This window comes from Homo sapiens, chromosome 7, assembly GCF_000001405.40.
Source record: "Homo sapiens chromosome 7, GRCh38.p14 Primary Assembly".
In the NCBI taxonomy this organism is placed as follows: Eukaryota; Metazoa; Chordata; class Mammalia; order Primates; family Hominidae; genus Homo; species Homo sapiens.
The window spans coordinates 62,271,168-62,294,159 of NC_000007.14; the positions used below are offsets into that span (position 1 = coordinate 62,271,168).

General features: G+C 38.2%; 2 annotated features.

Annotated features, from left to right (window-relative positions):
• Positions 5,317–5,817: an enhancer, noted in NCBI's record as "H3K4me1 hESC enhancer chr7:61820563-61821063 (GRCh37/hg19 assembly coordinates)". NCBI's record gives its function as "activates a minimal SCP1, AML or CMV promoter by ChIP-STARR-seq in primed H9 embryonic stem cells {active_cell/tissue: H9 hESC(primed)}" and the evidence as "EXISTENCE:reporter gene assay evidence [ECO:0000049][PMID:30033119]".
• Positions 9,743–10,296: an enhancer, noted in NCBI's record as "OCT4-NANOG hESC enhancer chr7:61816084-61816637 (GRCh37/hg19 assembly coordinates)". NCBI's record gives its function as "activates a minimal SCP1, AML or CMV promoter by ChIP-STARR-seq in naive H9 embryonic stem cells {active_cell/tissue: H9 hESC(naive)}" and the evidence as "EXISTENCE:reporter gene assay evidence [ECO:0000049][PMID:30033119]".

A 22,992-nucleotide genomic window follows, 5' to 3' on the forward strand; every position in this document is an offset into this window, starting at 1 on the left:
CTCACAGTAGTTTGATCATCTGAAGCCTTCTTCTCTCAAATCGTCAAAGTTATTCTCTGACCAGTTTTGTTCCGTTGCTGGTGAGGAACTGCATTCCTTTGGAGAAGGAGAGGCACTCTGCTTTTTAGAGTTTCCAGTTTTTCTGTTCTGTTTTCTCCTCATCTTTGTGGTTTTATCAACTTTTGGTCTTTGATGATGGTGATGTACAGATGGGTTTTTACTGTGGGTGTCCTTTCTGTTTGTTAGTTTTCCTTCTAACAGAAGGACCCTCAGCTGCAGGTCTGTTGGAGTTTACTAGAGGTCCAAGCCAGACCCTGTTTGCCTGGGTATCAGCAGCGGTGGCTGCAGAACAGCGGATTTCCGTGAACCACAAATTCAGCTGTCTGATCATTCCTCTGGAAGTTTGGTCTCAGAGGACTACCCGGCCGAGTGAGGCGTCAGTCTGTCCCTACAGGGGGATGCCTCCCAGTTAGGCTGCTCAGGGTTCAGTGACCCACTTTAGGAGGCAGTCTGCCCAGTCTCAGATCTCCAGTTGCATGCTGGGAGAACCACTACTCTCTTCAAAGCTGTCAGACAGGGACATTTAAGTCTGCAGAGGTTACTGCTGACTTTTTGTGTGTCTATGCCCTGCCCCCAGAGGTGGAGCCTACAGAGGCAGGCAGGCCTCCTGGAGCTGTTGTGGGTTCCACCCGGTTCCAGATGCCTTGCTACTTTGTTTACCTAAGAAAGCCAGGGCAATGGCGTGCCCCACTCCCCCAGCCTCGCTGCCGCCTTGCAGTTTGATCTCAGAGTGCCCTGCTAGCAATCAGCAAGACTCCATTGGCATAAGACCCTCCGAGCCAGGTGCGATACACAATCTCCTGGTGTGCCGTTTTCCAAGCCTGTTGGAAAAGTGCAGTATTAGGGTGAGAGTGACCCGATTTTCCAGGTGCCATCTGTCACCCCGTTCTTTGACTAGGAAAGGGAACTTCCTGACCCCTTGTGCTTCCTGAGTGAGGCAATGCCTCACCCTGCTTCGGATCCCACATGGTGGGCTGCACCCACTGTCCTGCACCCAATGTTTGGCACTCCCTTAGTGAGATGAACCCGGTACCTCAGATGGAAATGCAGAAATCACCCATCTTCTGCATCGCTCATGCTGGGAGCTGTAGACCGGAGCTGTTCCTATTCGGTCTTCTTAGCTCCACCCCTCATTTCATTATTTCATCATTTCATCATTTCACTTCATTTCCTCATTTCATTGCACCATTTCATTTCATCACTTCATCATTTCATTTCCTCATTCCATTTCATCATTTCATTATTTCATTTCATCTCATCATTTCATTTCATCATTTCATTTCATTTCAGCATTTCATTTCATCATTTCACCATTTCATTTCATCTCATCATTTCATTTCATTTCATCATTTTATCATTTCATTTCATTTCATCATTTCGTCATTTCATTTCATCATTTCATTTCATTTCATGTCATCATTTCATCATTTCATTTCATTTCAGTGGTAAATGTATTTAAGTGCTAATGTGAAGCCCAGGAAACACCCTATTTCCCTTTGTAAAACACCTCCTTCAACAAAACTCAACCTCTCATGGCTGGCTAAGTCTACAGGGATACCAGCCTCTCTTCAACCACCCAATTTGATTCAGAACCTCAAACAGCACCTCAATTTCATAAAAACCTAAAACATAAACACAACACTTGGTTGTAAGTGAGCCAACAGTTTCTTGTCTCTTTCTCTGCTGAAGGCTTAAGGCCATGTCTCCCCAACTATGTTCAGTGGAAGAAAAGATCCCCTGGACAAATAAGTTTGAGAACTGTTGTTGCAGGACTTCTGAGAACCTTTAAAACACAAATCCTCATCCGCAGGGATCTTCAGGAGGGAGATGGCTGATGCAGCACAACTTTCTTTCACAGGAGCATCTTGCACAATACAGTATGAGATGCAGAAAGGCTGCACTGAGTCTTTTTAAGGGCCAGGGCCTTTGTGGCGGTGGGGTAGGAGCTCTACAGATAGAATCTAATGAGTAGGAACATTCAGGTTGCTTTTTTTTTCCTTACCGGTAAAACTGTGTGTGCATCATGAATGAAGCTGGTCTCCCTCATCCATATGAAAACTAAACCCAAATTAATTGGCTAAATTGGGACTCAACACCTCCAGGAGCCATGTGGAAGAAAGCCCCACCACACTTTAAAGTAGCTTACCTCATCATATTTGAGGAAAGCAAAACGCTTATGACCAGTATACTGCTAATACAAGTCAACAGATAAGGCTGTATGAAAAATTATTTTTCCCAATCGTAGCTAGCACAGTCCACATTTTGCATTACACCTTCCCTCCTTTTTTAAAATTTTAAACACAGGTCCTTTTCTCTCCTTTTTTTAATTTTTAATTTAATTATACAAGATGGAGTCTCAGTATGTTGCCCAGGCTGGTCTTCAACTCCTGAGATCAAACGATACATCCATCTCTGCCTCCCAAAGTGCTGAGATTACAGGCCTGAGACACTGTGCCCGGCCTTAAACACAAATCTTATTCATTCTTACAATTACCCTGAGGTTAGAAAAATGGAAGGGGAAGAAAAATGGCAAGCAGGTAGGCTGACTTCGGCTTCATTATTTGGAAGGACAGTTTGCTTGGTTAAAACACACTACTGCCTACAAAGGCCAAGACAACAGAAAAATACAGACATATAAATAGATTTTATATGTGACAGCAGTTTGAATGGAGACTTTTTCAATGCAAATGGCAAACAGCTGTCCTTGGGAATAAATGACAGCGAATTTTTTTTATCTCAACAGCTGTCCTGAGAGCATGTCTCTACATCTCTACCTGCATTCTGGAGTCAGGGAGAAAGCCAAAACGGACGACAAGACACTAGATCAGCCCTGTCCAACCCTTTGACTACAAGGATATTTCTGCCTATCTGTGGTGGTGGGTATCATGAAAATTATGCACAAACTTTTTTTTTTTAAGCTCATCAGCTATCATTAGCAGTAGTGTATTTTATCTGTGGCCCAGGAGCATTCTTCTTCCAATGTGGCCCTGAGAAGCCAAAAGACTGGACACCTGTGCACTAGATCAAATGGCTACTCCTTCTGGAAGCAATTGTAAAGAATTTCTGACATTATCTTGACATGAAAACCAATGGATAGTGGGACAGAATGCAAAATCTTCAAGAATTTTTCTTGTTGATTTTTTTTTTCTTGAGTCAAGGTGTTGCTCTGTGGCCCAGGCTGGAATACACTGGTGAGATCACAGCTCAGTGTAGGCTCAAGTGCTCCTCCCACCTCAGCCACCGTAGTAGCTAGGACTACAGATGCGCACAACCACTCCTGGCTAACATTTTATTTTTTATAGAGATGGGGTCTCATTATATTGTCCAGGTTGGTCTCAAACTCCTTGACTCAAGGGATCCAGGACAGGATAACAGGTGTGAGCCACCACACCTTGCTATGTGCATGAACTTTTAAGACAAATACAAGGCTCCACAAAAGTTAAGGTTTCCCACCTAATTTCCAGGGGATCTTTTGGTGCAAGGATGAGAAACCCTTAAAAGTACACAGACATCTCCAAAGATTCAAGACAGTTCATTCAGGCTGAGCCAGCCCACTGGGCAGACTGTCTTTCAAACAAGGCTCACCCATGACATACACCAGACGGCTCTCCAAGAATCTCTCCAGTTCTCAGGGTCCCTAAGGTACTGGACAGAGCTAGGAAAGCAAACCCATTTGCTTCTTCCTGCAGGAAACCCCTTGAGGTCAAGACCCCACAATCAGATGAGGATGGAGTGGCTCACCCTCAGTCAACAGGCCAGACTCAAGGTGGTATAATGTCTTAACCAAGGGTGTGGGACTCCAGGTCTGAATCCGAACTCAGTTCTCCTTTGATATCCACACTTTGTTAATTTTCCTTAACAGGGGTTCCTGGCAAGTCATTTCTCCCTCAGGCCTTCGGTTTCCTCACCTACAAGATGAGAAGGCTGCACCAGATGGAAATTCGGGGCGTAAGGGGATGTCCGCGCGCAGCCCACCCCGCCCACGGGCCCCTCGAGCTTCCATCACAGTTCCCAACACGCACCCGCCCCACAAATCCTGCCCAAGGTGAGGGCTGGTCCTGGGTCCTCCGGCTCCAACATCAGCGAGTGCAGGAGGGAGGAGAAGCCTCCAAGGGGGTGACACGGGCTCAAGGATGCAACTCGGCCAGGAATGAACTGGGGCCCCGAGGGAGATGTCCAGTCCGTTGCTGGAACCCAGCCCTGGTCCCCAACCCCCTAACCTGCAGGGTCCATATCTCCTGCTGGGTGACGTCCTTGGACACAGCACACTTGGTGCGCAGCCCATGCAGGCTGCCAACGGAGATGCCGATGAGCTTCTGGAGCTGCCCGCACTGCTGCAGCACCCGGCTGGCTGCGGCCCCTGCGCCTCCCTCTGCAATAGCTGTGTCACCCCCTCCACCGCTCTCCTTCTTCCCTCCCATCGGGGCCGAGCGCAGCGCCGCTCTATGCAGGCTGCAGCGGCCCAGGAACAGAGCCTGGGGCGCGGGTGTCTAGGCAAGGAACCCCTGAACCGGGAGAGCTGGACCAGGAGTGACCCTGGTCCTTAGCCAGGAGTCCGGTAGATCTGGCAGCCGAGTCTGCCGATCCCGCCCTCAGACCCGCGGCGGTTGGGGCAAAAAGCCACGGCGGTGGGGGCAAAAACCCGCGATGCCGGGGTGAAAAAGCCGCAGCGGTAAAAACCTGTGGCGGTGGGAATAAAAAGCTGCGTCGGCAAAAAGCCGCGGCGGCGGGGAAAAAGCCGCGGTGATGGGGGCAAAATCCCGCGGCGGCGGGGGCAAAAAGCCGCAAAAAGTTGCGGCGGCGGGCGCAAAAAGCCGCAACGGTGGGGTCAAAAAGCCGGGGCGGTGGGGGAAAAAGCCGGGGCGATGGGGGCAACATGCCACGGCGGCGGGGGCAACAAGCCATGGCGGCCGAGGCAAACAGCCGCGGCGACAAAAAGCTGCGGTGGCGGGGGCAAAAAGCCGCGGCGGCGGGGGCAAAAAGCTGCGGTGATGGGGGCGAAAAGCCATAAAAAGCCGCATCGTCGGGGTCAGAAAGCCGCGACAGCGGGGTCAAAAAGCCGCGGTGGCGGGGTAAGAAGCCACGGCGGCAAAAAGATGTGGCGGCGGGGGCAAAACGGTGCGGCGGCGGCATAAAGCCGCGGCGGCGGGGGCAAAAAGCCTCAAAAAGCCACGGTGTCTGGTGCCAAAAGCTGCAAAAAGCCACGGCAGAGTGGGTAAAAAGCCCCAAAAAGCCGCGGCAGAGGGGGCAAAAAGCAGGGACGGCAAAAAGCCACGACGGCGGGGGCAAAAATCGGCTGGGGTGATAAAAAGCTGTGGCGGAGGGGGCAGGAAGCCACGTAGGGGGCAAGGAGGCGCGGCGGCGAGGCCAAAAAGCCGCGGCGGCAAAAAGCCACAAAAAGCCGGGGAGGCGGGGCAAGAAGCCGCGGCGGGAAAAACCTGTGGCGGCGGCGGGGGCGTAAAGCAGTAAAAAGCCGCGGCGCCGGGGGCCAAAAGCCACAAAAAGCCATGGCGGTGGTGACAAAAAGCCGCGGCAGAAAAATTCGCGGTGGCGGGGGCAAAAAGCTGCGGCAGCAGGGGGAAAAAAGCCGCAAAAAGCCGCGGCGGTGAGGGTAAAAAGCTGTGGCTTCTGGGGCAAAAAGCCGCGGCGGCGGGGGGAGAAAGACGCAAAAAGCTGCGGGGACAAAAAGCCACGGCGGCGAGGGCAAAGAGCCCCAAAAAGCCTTGGCGGCAGGGGCTAAATTCCGCGAGGCCGGGGGCAGAAAGCCACGGCGGCGGGGGCAGAAAGCAACAAAAACCCGCAGCGGCGGGGTCAAAAATCCACGGCGGCAAAAAGCCGCGTTGGCGGGGGCAAAATAGTCGAAATCGGGTAGAATGCCAGCACAGCTTGGCATTCCTGGAGTGTGATGTGGAAGGAAAAGTGCAGAGGAAGACAAACAAAGATGTAAGTAGGCTTGACTCAGTGCAGCTAAGAACCCACATGTTATCTTGATGTTATCTATCAGCTAATTTTTTGTATTTTAGTAGAGAAGGGGTTTTACCACGTTGGCCAGGATGGTCTCGATCTCCTGACCTCATGATCCATGCACCTCAGCCTCCCAAAGTGGTGGGATTAGAGGCATGAGCCACAGGGTGCTCAAAAAATCTATTAATTAAAAAATGTGTATGTAGCCGTCTTTAATCTACCATGTCCATTAGCAGATAAATACTATAAGCAAAATAACAACAGTGAAAGAAACATAGACTTAGAGTAGATACTCTGATTTATTTAATAAAAATTTGAAAATAGACCAAATTACTCTATGATAAAATTTGTTACTATTGAGGATGAGGGTTAGTGTTTGGAAAGGGGCAGGAGAAGTATCTCTATTTTTAGTAATGTTCTATTTTCATACATGGTTATAAGCAAATACATGTGTTTCATTAATGAAGCTATCCATATTTAATCATTGTACTTTTCTGCATGTATGATATATGTCAATAAATGTCTTAAATTATATACAGCAAAAATAGAAAAAAACACAAGAAGACATACACAAATGTTAAACCTAGAGAGAAATTTGAATATAAGTAAGTCTTTGAATGACTGATAGAACAAACCGAAAAATAGGATGGAGAGGTTTGGAACAGCATGATTAGCAAAATTGACATATCTGTCTTTTAATATAGGTAGAAACATAGTTAGATAAAAAAAGGACTTGTCTCGGAGCATGATTTCTGAAAATAGTGGAATCGAGTTTGAATCTAGTAAGTACATATAAATAAATGTCTTAAAACTCCTCTTATGTTAGCTAATTAAGAAATATTATTGTAATAGACATTAGAAAATATTTTAATAAATTGAGTGCATTTCACACGCTAAGGAAATGATCTTACTTGCATTTGATAGTTCAACTAGATACATATATACCTATAGGTATTTTAAAATATTTCTAATAACCTTATATACTTTTAAAAAGCATTGATATATGTGTGCACTATCTGGTCTATAGAGTACACATACCAAACATGATTATAGCTCTTCTGCTATAAACTTCAAATGTCTAATTAATACAAAAATCTAGAATGAGAAGAGTTCTTTGCAATTTTTTTTTTTACCAAATAGAATATAGGAAAGATAGCTGCAAATATACCTGACACACTTAACTGTGAGTATGGTGGTAGCCTTTTTATTTTATTTTATTTTGAGAGAGGGTCTCACTTTGTCACCCAAGATGGAGTGCAGTCATGTGATCAGAGCTCACTGAAGCCTTCACATACTGTGTTCAAGCGATTCTCCCACCTCAGTCTCCTGAGTAGCAGGGACTGCAAGTGCATGACACCATACTAGCTAATTTTTGTAAAGATAGGGTTTCACCATGTTGCCCTGGCTGATCTCCATCTCCTGGACTCAAGAGATCTGGCCACCTTGGCCTCCCAAAGTGCTGGGATTATAGTTTTGGGGCACCGCGATCAGCCCAGCCTTCAAAAAGGCAGACTAGAGATCTTTATCTATGTATATCTATATGTATCTATAAAATAAACATATGTGTTCCTTATGTAAAAATATATATTATTAATATTATATAAAAATTTTTTTCGAGGTAGAAATATATAAAGAGGGTGCATGTAGAGCCTGGGTCATTGTGTAGTGAAGCTCAAGGCCTCTGAAGAAATGCCCCTTGCCTCTTGTGTCTGGGCTAGAATCTGAGAAGGGAAAGCAACAGATGCACTGGTTCCCAGGTTCTTGGCATCCTACAGAGAGAAACTTGTTTGAGCTAGGGTAGTGTTTAACACCCTTGTTCTTACACTTCTGTTTTATGTAGTAAGCAGAGACTAGCTTCATGAGAACAGACAGTGACAGTCAAGGCTGTCTGTTATTTTGTGCAGCATTAATTGAGAAATTCTAGCTCCTGAAGACCTCTGGGCCATTTGAGGGTAGGTGCAGGGGAGGAAAGGGAAGATTGCATCCCTCCTGCTGTGGAGAGAACCCGTGGGAAGCACAGACCTTGTCCTAACTGAAGGCACACCCCTTGCTAACCAGCTTCTCATCAGCCAACCCTGGATGAGTTTCCATGTCTATTTACTAAATAATCCTTATTGCTCTTCTTCATATGGGCAAAGTATGGTTTACAGGGAATATTGTTCCTTTGAGCACCCATCGTGGAAACCCCTTCCTGTCGTGGGAAAACAGTCTTCCATATGTGTCTTATTGGGAAACACATAGGCAGTTTCTGTTTTTACTGCATCTATTTCAGGGATATGGGAACTGAATAGTGCCCATCAAAGTCTCACCTGATGTTGGAAATTGATCTGAGAGCGCGGAAGGACAGAATTCTTTCTTTGTTCCTGGGCAGCGGTGGTTGAGGGATCATTTTGTGGCAGCTACAGTGGCAATGATGGAGGCAGAATGGAGGTCTCAGTACCAAGACAAGGAGAGACTTGGCCTCACAATGGCAGCATTGCAGGGGTGCGCTCTACAGAGCATTTGCTCACATGGTTTTGGGCATTGTCTCTAACTACATTGCTTCCCCAATAGGTTGACCCATTCTAACTAACTCCTTTTCTCTTTAAAAAGCAAACTTCATTTGTATGACTTGCAATTGTAAACGACACCAATTGGCCAGTTATCGTTCAAATTCTCTGTTACTTAATCCTGGCTTTTCCTGACGTATGCAACTTTCACCTAAAAAATTGGACACTTTGTTGCTTACTCATTGTCTTTACACATTTTAAAATGTTGCTTTGTGCCCCCAATCCCTGACTACATTTTCAATGTTTTGCAAGTGGAGTCCGTGTGTTCTTGATTTACATGAAGCTCAAAATAATGGGTATAGTAACTAGTACTTCATAATTAAGCAAAAAGCTCTTATTGAAAAATGACAGAACTATACATAGGGATGAGAACATGGAGAGATATTTCGTGAGATCACAAAGTTATGGTATGGCAGAAGTAGAACGCTGAGTAGAGACTCTGTGTTCCCAATCATTATTTCTGCCACCAGCTTTCTATTTTGATGTTAATAATGTTCTTATGTGGGAAACCCTACATATTTGCCAATGTTTAGTTCATTGACAAAGAAATAGAAAGAGCTTCAAGAACACTCTAATCTTTAAAAAAATAAAATACCTATAATTGGCCATACGAAAAAAATTGGTACTTGACATATACTGAGATCGTTTTATTTTGTGCTAGACAAATGAAGTCATAGAACAGAATGTGCTTTAAATATTATGAATAGTGCTTGCATGTGTGTGTGTCTATAGATGCATATTAGGCCGCTGAAAAGTTTTATTATTCTTTCCAGGAGAGAGACTGCCAACTTTTGAACCTAACTAGAACAAGTATATTGTTTCTTCATATTTTTATTAAGGCAAAGAGAGTCTAGTTAAAAATAATTCAAATTGTCGTGGAAATGCTATAAATTGCTGTGAAGTGAGTTGCTGGCTATGGCTTGTCAGAGCAAATATATTGTACAAACCTTAGGGGAGAATTAGTGCTTGTGCATTAAAATCAAATCATCTTGCAGCACACTGAGAAAAAGGTTAGATTTTTAAAATAATTTTAAAGTCATGAAAAGAGCAAATATGCTCCACAAAGAGCCTAGCAACCCTCAATGACCAATGCCCGTTTTATGTAGTTTGGTATCTGAATTAGAATCCCAGAATCTACAAATTCCTCTGCGTGTGGGTGCTGCATTTGAGGATTTTATAACACTGCCATCACCAAGCTCTCTTTTGATATTCACTTTAAGGAGATAATTTACGGGCAACCAGAGAGCATAAACCAAAGTAGATATCTATCTAGATAGCTAGATACATCTCCATATGATTGACAGGATACATTCTGGCCGAGTGTGAGTACAACCTATGGATGTGGTTGGAGAGAAAAGTGTTCCACCTGAATGGCAGATCAGGATTATTCCTTCTCATCTGCTGCAATGGCTCAATGTGTTAAGGAGAGGAGCGAGACAGCAAGAACCGCATTCATTCAGTCATACAGACCAAAAGGAGGAATGTCGCCCAGCCCTCTAAACTGACCCAGAACCCAGCTCATGTCTCAACTGCTACCTCTCCTACTTAGAAAGAAGTAACTCCACCAAAGCAGGGTTCTGGACAAATATATTTTTATTGATCATATACAAATAGATGAAGATGGACTTGGATGTTAAGAAAAATAATACTATACAAAATCGAGAGTAGACACAGTCGCCCCTAGACTTAAATTAAGGGTGTGTACATTAGATAATTTAATCCAATGTGTCAGGTAAAAACTTGAACAAACCTTTTGGCCTCTCCCTTAAAATTCAGGGAAGCATGTCCTCCAAAAAACAGAATCAAAATATAAATAAAAGACTGGCTTAAGATGAAAGGAAACCTTACAAATGAAAAGAAGCCAGATGAGAGGCACTTAACTGAGAATGAAAAGAAACTGAATGGACAAAATAATTATGAGAAGATGAACCTTCAAATCAGAAAGAGGGCAAACAGCTTATTTGATACTATGGGAACTCAAAAGAGAGTGAACACAAATGTGAAAATTCCAGGAGTAAAGAAAAGTAGCATAGCTAAATGAAGAGCATGAGAAAATGTATAAAATTTTGAGTAATAAGAACAGAAATCAAAAGTAACTATTGTATGTTATATTTTAGTAGAGCAACACTGAAGAAGAATGAAAGCAAGAAATAATATTAAATATGAACATATGGAGGACAGAATAATATTTTTAAAATTTTTAGTTTCTAAGCTTCTCTGAAATTTTGATTTTGTTTTCTTATGTAATACCAGAGTTATTAGGAAGGTATTATCTAATAACACTATTTTCAGTGAGATATTTTAAGTAGTTGTCCTAGAAAAATTTTATTTTTTAAAAATGTATATTTAAAAATACATTAAATGTGTATATACCTCATATGTTTCGATTTCTATTTTTCTTGAATTGCAAATGAAATTTGTATTTTTGTGTTCCTGGAACAAAATAAACTTGAATGGATTGTAATATGTTATTCATGCTGTAATTCAATGTATTTGAATACTTTAAAAATGTTACATTTATAGTTAACAGATACTGACCTATAAATTTTCTGTCTTATAATGATGCTGTGAGACAATCTAAGAAGAATTAAAATTTAAATTCATGTATTCCTACTTTTTTCTCTGTTCTCTAACTGTAATGTATTTTAATTACAGATGGAGGAACAGATAGATGTTAGATAAATAGATATATAATAGATAGATCATCCAAAATTCTTATTCTTATGGTTTTATGTAGTCAGTATTTACCTCTATTTTTCTACATGTTTATCCTTCCAATTTAGTTCATTACTTCCTGCACCTTTGATGTCATATATATAAACAGGAAACAACACATGGTGGCCGGGATGTAGAGAGGGCCACAGGAATTGTGAATAAAATCCACAGGCAAGGATGTGGCGATTCATTTTGCAATATTGGAGGGAATGCCAAACCCTATGTTTGCTGTGGAAAAGAGTATGGTAGTTCCTCAAAACATCAAAATGGTATTGCCTTATGATTCGGCAGCCCCACATCTCAAGATAGCAAAAGAATTCAAAGCAGAGTATTGAAAAAATATTTGCACATCCATGTTTGCATGCACCATTATTGGCAATAGCTAAAACGTAGAAGCAATTGAAGTGTTCAACAACAGATGAATGGATAAGCAAAACATGATACATACATACAATGGAAAATTATTCAGCCTTAATCATGAGGGAAATATACTGACATATATTGCAACTTGGATGAAACTTGAGGATATTATGCCAAGTGAAATAAGTTAGTCAGTGAAGGACAAATACAGTATAATTCCATTTGTATAAGAGACTTAAAAGGGACAGAATCACAGAGATACTAAAACGATGATTGCCAGAAGCTGGGGAGAGGAAGACATGGGGAAATACTGTTTAATGGGTATAGAGTTTCAGTTTCACAAGTTGAAACGAGTTATGGAGATGGGTGGTAGTGATGGCTGCACAATGTTATGACTCTAGTACCACTGAACTGTACACTTAAAATGGTTAACAGAGTACATTTTATGTTATGTGTATTTTACCACAATAAAAAAATAAACTACCTTAGGAACATTTTCCTGAAAGAGTCCACATAAAATTCATTTTAATGCATGTGTTTATGCATAGCTTTCTATTTTTCTCTTTTCTATTTATATTCCAAATTAGAATATAATGCTAATCAAGCATTGTGGCTGTGTTTCTTGCTTCCTCTAGTCTGCAGGTAGCGTACAAATGTAATAAACTACTCATGAATGTCACACCTATTTATTTTCTGCCTTATACCAAGCTTGTGGGATTCTCTTAAATACAACATTTTTATACTTACACCTATGCAATACCCATTAGCATCGCCTTCCTAAATCAGGGGGAATTGAGTCTCTGTAAGGTGCAGTAACTTACTAAGATACAAAACTTAGCATTAAAGTCTGTATACTTCAATATCCTGCCCTCTTCTCATTTGTCTTTACTGCCTTTTATGTATGTGTTAGATGTTCAATAAATTCTCTTTTTTAAACCGAATTTAAGCAGTGGAGCAGTGTTTTGTTGAACAATAAATATGATATTGGACACTCTTCCTCCCTTTCATTTATGATGCAGTTCATGAAAAAGAGAAATACTTTCATTGTGCTAGAAGCTTAAAATAATGAAAACGCCGCTTTCTACATTAAACAGAAACTGAAGGGAATCAAGGTGAATTGCATGAGACATAGAAAACAAGTGGGAAATAAATCTAGTATAATTTCCCCTTTGTGTACCTTTGTTATTTAGCATTTGAGAAAATGTTTCCCTCAAATATCTTCCCATATAAATTCATGTTTATAAAGTAGACATTTATGTCTCACCTTGTCAAGAAGGGCAATCTCTAACATAAACATTTCCCAAAAATGCTTCCTGCTAAAACGTAAGCTCAGTCTGGCTTGAATTTAAGCTCACTTCATAACAAAAAGTTGGTAGCTAATCTTTGCATGCTGTTCTCTGAACTTGAGTGAAAGCGGTCCATCAGGCATACAGGGAATGACGGAAAAGGTGACAACAGAAGATGAATGCTATGTCACTAACCTTCAAAGATGACCTGCCTTTTCTTTCAAATTCTTGATATCTTAAGACTTCATTAATTCATCTCTCTTTGCCCTTGGTGCAACATTGTGCTATACCAAAACTCATGTAAAACAATGATCTAATGTAATAAAAATGGCATTTTTCTTTCATGTAGATGCAAGCTATCTGGCATTTTTACAATCAACATACTTCCGTTGTCAATTTTTCATTCTGTATTGGAACTAATTGATAGGTATTTCTGAAGGGATGAAGGTGTTTCTGTGTTCATTGTGATCCAAACGTTTTTTAGACCTAGTGGTGTTGGTAAAACAACTTGTGCCAGCTGACCAAGGACCACTGTGGCAGAAAGCAGCAAACTTGCATAAGATGTCGCTGCCTCATCAGTTGGCTTTGAAAACTAGGGGCTTATTCTATAGACCTATGAATCAAAGACATTGATAGATGTAGTATAAGATTAAAATCATATTTTCCTTTTGACAGTCACATTATAAAGCATGATGTATTGCAATTAATCTCAATTAGCTGATGACAATTAAAATTAATAGTTTATTATTGCTGATAAACAATCATGACTCTCCTGTTCTCAAATGTGCAAGGAATTCTTGTAATTTTAATACAAATTTGCATATTATTACTAATTGATTTAATCTCATTGGATTTGGTTCATGGATCCAATTTATTAAAATATTGATAATGGGATAATGATTTGTCTCCTCATTTCATTTACACTAAAAGATACAATTCTTACAATGCTCTGCAAGCCCATCGTGATCTGCCGCATGTTAACCGCCAAAATTCTTTTATGTCTTCACCCTTGATCTTACCAGTGGTCCTGGCCACCTCACTGTCCTCTGGACATGCCAACATGCTGCTGTCTTATGACCAAGACTCTAGTTAATTTCTTGGCTTTGAAAGATAACCTTCCATATATGCATTGATCAGCTCATTCAACTTCCTCAAGTCTTTACTGAAACCTCACATTCTCGATGAGACCTATTCAGTATTTCAAACTGCCTCCCAGCTGCAACATTCCAAAACCCATTAGTCTTTTGTGTATTTTTGAAAGGATTTATTGAGATATAATTTACATACTGTAGAGTGCGCATATTAATGTCTACAAGTCAATGGCTTTTAGTATATACACAGATAAGTGGAGCCATCAGCACAATGAATTTTAGAGCATTTTCATCACTTCAAAAAGAAACCCCACCTTCTCTAGCTGTTACCCTCCTATGCACTCATCCCCTACTCAATCCTAAGCAACCACAAATCTGTATACTCTGGGGGTATACCTAGGAATACATTTCTGGGTCATATGACAATTCTATGTTTCATATATTTAGAAGCCATCAACCTATTTTCCAAAGTGGCCAGTTCTAGCCATAGAGTATTTAACTGTGGTTTTGATTTGTAGTTGCCTGATGAGTGATGTTGTTGAGTATGTTTTTATGGGATTATTGACCGTTCGTGTATCTTCTTGGGCTACACATCTATTCCTATCATTTATCAGTTTTGAGTTGGGATTTTTGTTACTGAATTAAAACAATTTTTCTATATTCAAGATACATATATATGCAGACATATAGATATGTGTTTCTCAAATATTTTCTCACAATTTTTGAGCTGCCTTTTGACTTGCTTGGTTGTCCTTTGAAACACCAATGTCTTTAATTTTTAAGAAATTTTAAATATCTAATTTTTATTTTGTTGCTCATGTTTTTGGGGTTACAGATATTTCTTTGCTAGATCCAAAATCCTGAAGATTTTTGCATATGCTTTATTCAAGCTCTTGCATGCATGTCTTTAATTCATTTGAGTTAATATTTTTGTATGCTTTGGGGTAAGGCTTCCAATTTACTATTTTGCAAGTGGCGATCCACGTGTACATTGTTGACCCAGTTTGTTCAAAGACTGTCTCTTCCTCATTGAATTGCACATGGCACCACTTTAAGAATCCATTGACTATAGATACATAGTTTTATATATGGACTCTCAATTCTCTTCCATCAATCTATATATTTTTCCTTCATCAGTATTTTGTTGTCTTGATTACTGATGCTTTGCCGTAAGGTTTGGAGCACGGGGGTGTGAGTTATCCTAATATGTTTTCTTTTATCAAGACTATTTTGGCTATTTTGAGTCCCTTACAATCCCATGTGTATTTTAGAATCAGCTTGTCCGTTTCTAGACAGAAGTCTGTTGGGATACTTGCAGGGATTACGTCAAATCTGTAGTTCAACTTGCAAAGTACTACAATATTAAATCTTCCAGTTCATGGGTGGAAGATGTTTGCTAATTATTTAGATATTCTTTAAACAATAATTTTTAATTTTCAGAGTAAAATCTTGTATCACATTTTCCAAATTAATTATTATTTATTTTTTTGATGCTATTTTAAATTGAAGTGTTTTCTTAATTTCATTTTGGGGTTTTCATTGTAGGTGTGTGCAATTGATTTTTTTGTACATTTATCTTGTATGCTGTAATATTGCTGAAATAATTTACGAGTTCTATCGTTCAGTGGATTCCTTAAAATTTTCTATATACAAGAATGTTATTTTCAAATAAAATTTTATTTCTTCCTATTCAATATGGGTGACTCTTTTTTTTTAGTTGCCGATTTGCCCTGCATAAAATCTTTAGTACAGTGTTAACTAGAAGAGGTCCAATTATATATCCTATTCTTATCTCTGACCATAGCGGGAAAGCATCCTTTACCATTAAGTTGCATGCTTGCTGTTGGCTTTTCGCAGGTGCCATGTATCTGGTGTAGAAAGTTCTCTCTTCCTGGTTCATTGAGTTTTTATTTTTATTTTTAATCATTAAAGCATTTGGATTTTGTTAAATGTCTTTTCGGAATCTATCGAGATGATCATGCAGTTCTCGTTTCTTATTCTATGGATAAGATGTATTACCTTAATGGATTTTGGGCTGTTAAACCAACCTGAGATTACTAGTATAAATTTCACCTTGTCATAGTGTATAATTCTTTTATATGTTGCTAGATCTGATTTTTTAGTATTTTTTAAGGAATTTTGCATTTATACTTATAGTAGTTTTATTTTTCTATGCTATTTGGACTAATTTTTGTATCAAGGTAACACTGGCCCCACAGAATAAATTGGGAAGGGAATATTTCTCTTTTTAAAAAAAGTCAGTCAAGAATTAATATCAATTAGTCAATACTAACAAATATGATTAATATTATAAATTATTAATTTCTCTAATTTTTATTTTCTTCCTTCTGCTGGCTTTAGGTTTATTTTGCTATACTTTCCAGTGCCTTAATGTGGAAGGTCATCTTATCTCCTCCTTTCCTTTGTCTTTTCATTTTCTAAATAGTGTCTTTTTAGCATCAGGTGAGCTCCCCAGGTTGGTAGTACTCCATGTTTATTGCTGTACAACAATGACAGGTAATATGTCCTGAAGACAATGGAAAATTAACATTCAAAATCCTCCTAGATTCCACCTTATGTGAAATGTCTCTTCCTTTGGTTGGTCCTAATTTCTACCCTTTCTCTATTATAAACTATGAGTACAATGGCATTCAATGAGTTCTGTGAGTCTTTTTAGTAAATTCTTGAAACTGAGGGTGTTCTGGGGAAACCCCTGAACTGGCAGTTGGTGACAAAAATGCGAATCATCTTATATGGCCTCTTCCTTTGAACTTTGCAGCTGGACCCAAACTCTGCACAATTTGGGCCAGAAGCCTCGTGTTGACTTTGCAGCCTAAATTATCTTGTAGTTTGTCTAACCCTCAATAAATTTGCTTTCATCAAATATTGTATTTGTTACCCCAAAATTACTATCATGTTTCTTTTCTCCAAATAACTAACATTGGGAGAAATAGCCAGCTGAATCTGTAACTCAACAGAAACATGTGATCCATATACCATATAAGTGGCCATTTCATTTTGCCTTCTTCCACCAAATCTTAGCAACCTCAACCATTGCCATGAGCCACTGTAGGCCTACCGTCTACAAACAAACAAGTATCATTTGAAAACACTTCATAATCCCATTTGATAAATTTCCCAGCAAAGAGATGCTTACTTTAACTCTATGCAAGTGGCTCATATTCGCAAAGTCTGGAGATATTATTCAGGTAGTGTGAGAAAATCTTCCCAGCGATTCCAGCACATTCTCCTTCCCATGATCTGCTTAGTTTGCAAACATATTCAGGCCATAGGTTAGAGATTTGTATTTCACAGTACAACAATGTTATGGAGGTCATTGAAACTTAGATTGAGCATTTCAGCACAGTCACGCATCACTGAATGACAGGGATACGTTCTAACATATGCATCCATAGGCAATTTCATCATTTTGCAAACGTCAGAGAAAATATTACAAACACCTAGTTTGTACAGCCTACCACGTTTAGGTTATATGGTATAACCTCTCTCTCCTAGGCTACAAACCTGTGTACTACACTACTATACTGAATACTGCAGGCAATAAGAACACAGTGGTAAGAGTTTATGTATGTAAACATACTTAAACATAGAAAAGTATGTAAAAATATGTATTATAATCTCATGGGACAACTTTTGTATATGTAATCCACCTTTGACTGAAATATTATTATGCATGACATGACTCTATGACAAAAATAATACATTTTAAAAAATGTACACATGTATCATATTATAAAAATAAAGATATTTATTCAGTGTAAGAATTTGTAATGATCACAGCTTATATTTAAGTACAGTTTCAAATGCCTAGTGCAATTACTGTTTATTTCTTTGTGTATTTTAAACATGTATATAATAAATATTTTTCAGGTTCAACAATATATATCAATCCTACAGGCTCTTATAAATATTAGTTAAAATCAATTGGTAAATTCATGTATATATATGCATACCTGTATCAGTGAGCGTGTGTGCATGTATGCTTGTGTAAATGTAATTGTATGTGTGTGTAAATGTAATTGGATGCGTCCTTATATTTACCCTTACCTACAAGATTTCCAAGATTCATTTATGATCTTTAGATGATGGGCATTTAAAGATGTACCAAATACAACTGTAATAGTGGAAAATATCAAGATGTTATTAAATTCATCTTGTGCACATAATTGTTGCTATAAATTTGTTTCTTGCAAAACTTGCAGTAATGCTCATGCACAAAATAATTTTCTAAATAAAAAATAAAAACGTTTTATCGGTCATTAATTCTTGAAATTATTTCTCCCCAATAATTAATGTGAATTAATTCTTAATTCTTAATTAAAGAATAATGTTGCCCTTCAGAGTTCGGAAATTTTTACATGTTGTACACATTTCACTAACCAGAACAACTTCTGAAATATTGGCATTAATTACTGTCACTCAGCAATTATTGATTTCAAAGGCATTAAATACCATTCATATTCTGAATCACAAGGGTACTTTGGCATCTTATTTAATCAAGCTCTTTGTATCATCATCTACACTTTAATTACTTAACAAACATTTCTCTGTGTGAGAAAGTTTGAGCAGGTTATTGTGCTTTTTTAAGATGCAACTTTTGCTTAATCTAGAGATAGGCAATGCTCCCTATAAGGGACAAGGAGAAAAATAAATGAGCAATAGAGATGTGACAGGCATGGAAAAAGACAGTACATTTATCAAACAAATAGGGCCATGGATGACGATAATGGGGATCAAATCTTGAGATACCGACTCAGTTTATAACCACACTGTATAATAGAGCAAATCATTTGTTAACTTTTTTACAAATGGAATTTAATTTAATTAAGATGAATACAGTGTTTTAAATAAGGCAGGTCTTCTTAAAATAAAATAATGGAATAAAGTGATAAAACCAAAGTAAAAATCGTAAACATTTTATAAATAATTTTTGTCATGTAACTTAATATTTTTGTTCATTTAAAATCACCCAAATCAAAATAATTTTATCTTAATTAACAAATAATCATCAGAAGTTTAACTAATTTTTACTTTATGAAACTAGGTTTAAAAATTATTAACTATATTTTTAATCACATATGCTTCTATATAAAATAGACATAGGATATATATTTACATGTTCACAATATTATATTGTAATTGCTCCTATGGATGTGGTTTTTCAATAGAATTAATAAGTACTTTTAAAAAGTTTCCATTTCAATGATGTATATGATTGATTTTTCTTAGACAAAGCATACATATATTGATAGGTAATAATATGAAAATCTTCTAAAGGCATTACAGGAATACGAAAATGTAATTAAATACTCACTAGTTTCTAATGTTTTATGTAAGCGGAACACTTTTAACTGAAAATTGCTTTTATATTAATACTGAAACGAGACTAAAAACTTTTTAACCAGTGGAGTAACTATTCAAATTGATAATCTGAACTATATAAGAGGAGAAACTTCAGGCACTCTAATATTTGAAATGCTACAAAATATTTATATAAGCTATTATTTCACAATTTCTGTTTGTAGAGTGCTATACAGTAATCAATATAAACGACATCCCAAATCTTTCTATAGCTTTGACCACATTTACATCCTAATTTTAATTATTAATACGTTGGAGCAGTGCATACAACTAGATTCTGATCTTCCTTTTTAATGAGTAAAAATATGCCCTTTGAGACAGCATTAAAGAAAGAGCACCTTGTATAAATTCAATGCCAAGAGACAAGATATTCTTGATTCTGAAGTCTTGTTCTTTCATACAGCAATGTAATTAATAAGAAGAAAAGCAGGACATAGATGTGGAGCCTATTTTAATAAAAAATTGTCTATAGATTTTGATGATAAAATTTAAAAATCTACTATATTTAGTTACAAAAAACTAGGTTGTGGGAACATATTTGGTCAATAAAACACCCCTACCAAGTGCTGACAAGAAAAAATGTTAGGTACCACCTTTCTTCTCTGCAGATGGCCTGAGATGGGTTAATTTGAAAGAACGCTTCCAAACCTGAGGTGACCCCTGAGAACAGCATAACCCACTGCTGTCTCCCACATTCAGTTTCTCAGTTTGTGCTCTTTTAATTTTGCGGGGAGGGAAGCCAGACCTTTAAACCAATCTTCAGCATGATGGCAGAGCCAAGGAGTGTGGACAGGTGGCACGGTGTCTGACTTTGTTCCAGCAGCCACTTGGGCTTTCTCTGGATCTTCTCTGCCCTAGGGATAGCACCACTATTGAAAACATATCTTTGTGACATTCTCTATGCCAGGAACTCCCAACACATTTTCCTTGAAACTGATGAAATGAACAAAAATAAACCAAGAGGTGTGCTGTTTGTTTCTTTTTCCTCCTTTCTGCAGCTCTTCTTGATCATCTAATATTTTTAAATACATTGTCGATCACCAAAAGGAGCATAAGGGGTATATTGATTTGTAGCAGATGTATTAATAGCCCAGCCCCTATTCCTTACCTGTAGCTGCTGGGAAGAAAACCATTCTTAACACTCTACAGAGTGTCATCTCCAGAATTTGCAGCTGTTTCTAGCTGAGGACTTTCTCTAGCAGCACGGGAGTTTGATACTGGGCATGAAGTGGGAAGAAAAGGTGAGGGTAACTAAGAAGAATCTCCCTGGATTCAGTGATGTAATTCTGAGGCATCTTCCACATAGCTTCCCATAGAATTAAGCCCAGATATCTAACGCAGGATCTTGCCTCTTAACACGTGTGGTATTGGCTTTTCTATCTTTCCTGTTTTATTTTGTTCTCTCTTCCTTGTCTTACTTTCACTGTGTCCTCACTCCTGCTTTAAGAATACCCAAACAAATACATTCATTTATTTTTTTAGAGTCTCAGAACACAGTTGTTTGTTGAATTTGTAATCTATGATAATCAGCTTGGATGCTATACTTACAGGAAGATAGTGAACTCACAATGTCTAATTAAGATAAAATTAAAAAGTATATTGATTCATGTCCAAAGATTTAAAAAACCTAAGCGGCAGTGTCACAATTTCGTTTTTAGTTTACATAGTTTCTTAAATGCCTACAATTGTTTTAAAAGAAACCTTGAATCTAGGAAAAATTGAGGCATATGGAATAAATTACTAACCCATTTCTCCTTGAAATCCATAAGATGATTGATGATTTTTCAAATATATTTCTGAATTGAAAAACTAGTTGCTAATTATTTTTATAAACATATCCTTATGCAATATTTTGTTTCCTGCAGTGAATTGAAGGTTTAAAGATTAAATTATTCTATCCAGAGAATAAAAAGCAATTATTTCACAAGGAGAACATGGGTACTTTGACACGACATCTTAAAGTCTAGATTTTAAAATAGGTCCCATACACTTTTGTGTCAATTAGAATACGTTTGTATCAGTCTGTCTACAGTTTTACACCTGTCTAAATGTACTTGAACTACAACAACTACCTTGAACAGTTTTGAAATTTATGATTCCTCTGAAACTGATTAAAAGAATTATGGTAGAGTGAAATTCTGATTGACATAATTTGGGAGAGAAATTATTCCTTGGGGATCAACCTCTGCCAAGATAGTTTATAATGACATTGAGGCTTCTTGATTTACACAATTTGTTATATAAAAATATACTAAGACGATGGCAGATAATACACAGACTTTAATTAAAATTGTACTACAATTAAAAGTCTAAATAAATTGGAAGTGTTCATGGTACATCTAAATGTATGTTTATATATTTTATTTGTGCATTTTTTTCCTAGGGTTTCTTTTGCTTTAGTTTGTAAAACGTTCTCATTTTTATGATAATGTAGCATATGCTAAATAAAGAAAAATCAGGAAATAGAAAATGAAGAAGAAAACATTAGCTATTGTCAACCAAATAAAAATTGTGCAATCTCTAAGCACATGAACTATGTAATATTTGTACAGCATAGTACAATGTTTATGCTTCACAGGGTGAGGTAGAGACTGCAAAACCTTGAACTTGGGACAAATAAGAGAGTAAGGAAATTTTCACAACTTATTAATATTATAGAAAATTCTGAACTTAACAGTTAAGATACAAATAGTGAAAAATGATGGTATTTAAGGAGATCTAGAAAATTTAATCTATACCTGTAATGTGTGAGAATTATTAGAATAATGCTTGTATTTCTGTATTGGCATCAATTTCTATTGAGACTGGAAACATAATAGAAGTGAACAAAAAAGAATTTAAATTGTGGATACTTGAGTTTTATACCTAGGAGTTTGAGAAATACATTTTGTTACTATCAAAGCAGTTGGCACAAGAGTGTACAAAATTCCCTAATTGTGTCTATGTGGAGAAGACATAGACAAACAGAGAATAGCAAAACAGAAAGAGCAAAAAAACACAAATAAATTTTACCTGTATTTTTAAGTAAAAGCCAATTAGAGTAGGAAAACATGAAATCTGTGTTTTGTCAAAATTTTTCTCTTTCTCATAATATAGTTGAATATATTACTGGAAAAAATTTGAAGCACTGGTATGTTCACAAATAAAATTAAAATATAAGGTCAAAACAATGGGAATGCAGGGAGCAGACAATATATAACTAAACACCGAAACTAATTTTGCCCTATGGACATGTAGCAAAATGAATGAGTGCAGATTCTTACTGTCATACATCACATAGGACAGTAAATAAATACATAGTTTTTCCCAAGATAGGGCATTACACAGGAGCTCTTCCCTAAAGCTATGACCAAAATTTATATCCTCAGTATAAAGAAGAATCAGGGGTAAATTAGTCCCATTTCACATTCCCTGGAAATGGCAAATAAAAATGACTTGAGATTGGATAGATTTAAAGAAACTCAATCGTTAATGATTTACAGCAACTAATTTAAAAATTGTTTAAATGTGCAGTCCAAACATACGTCCGAACAACTTTAGGCCAAGAATTAATATAATGTGGTCCCAGAATGGTGGTGCCTTTAG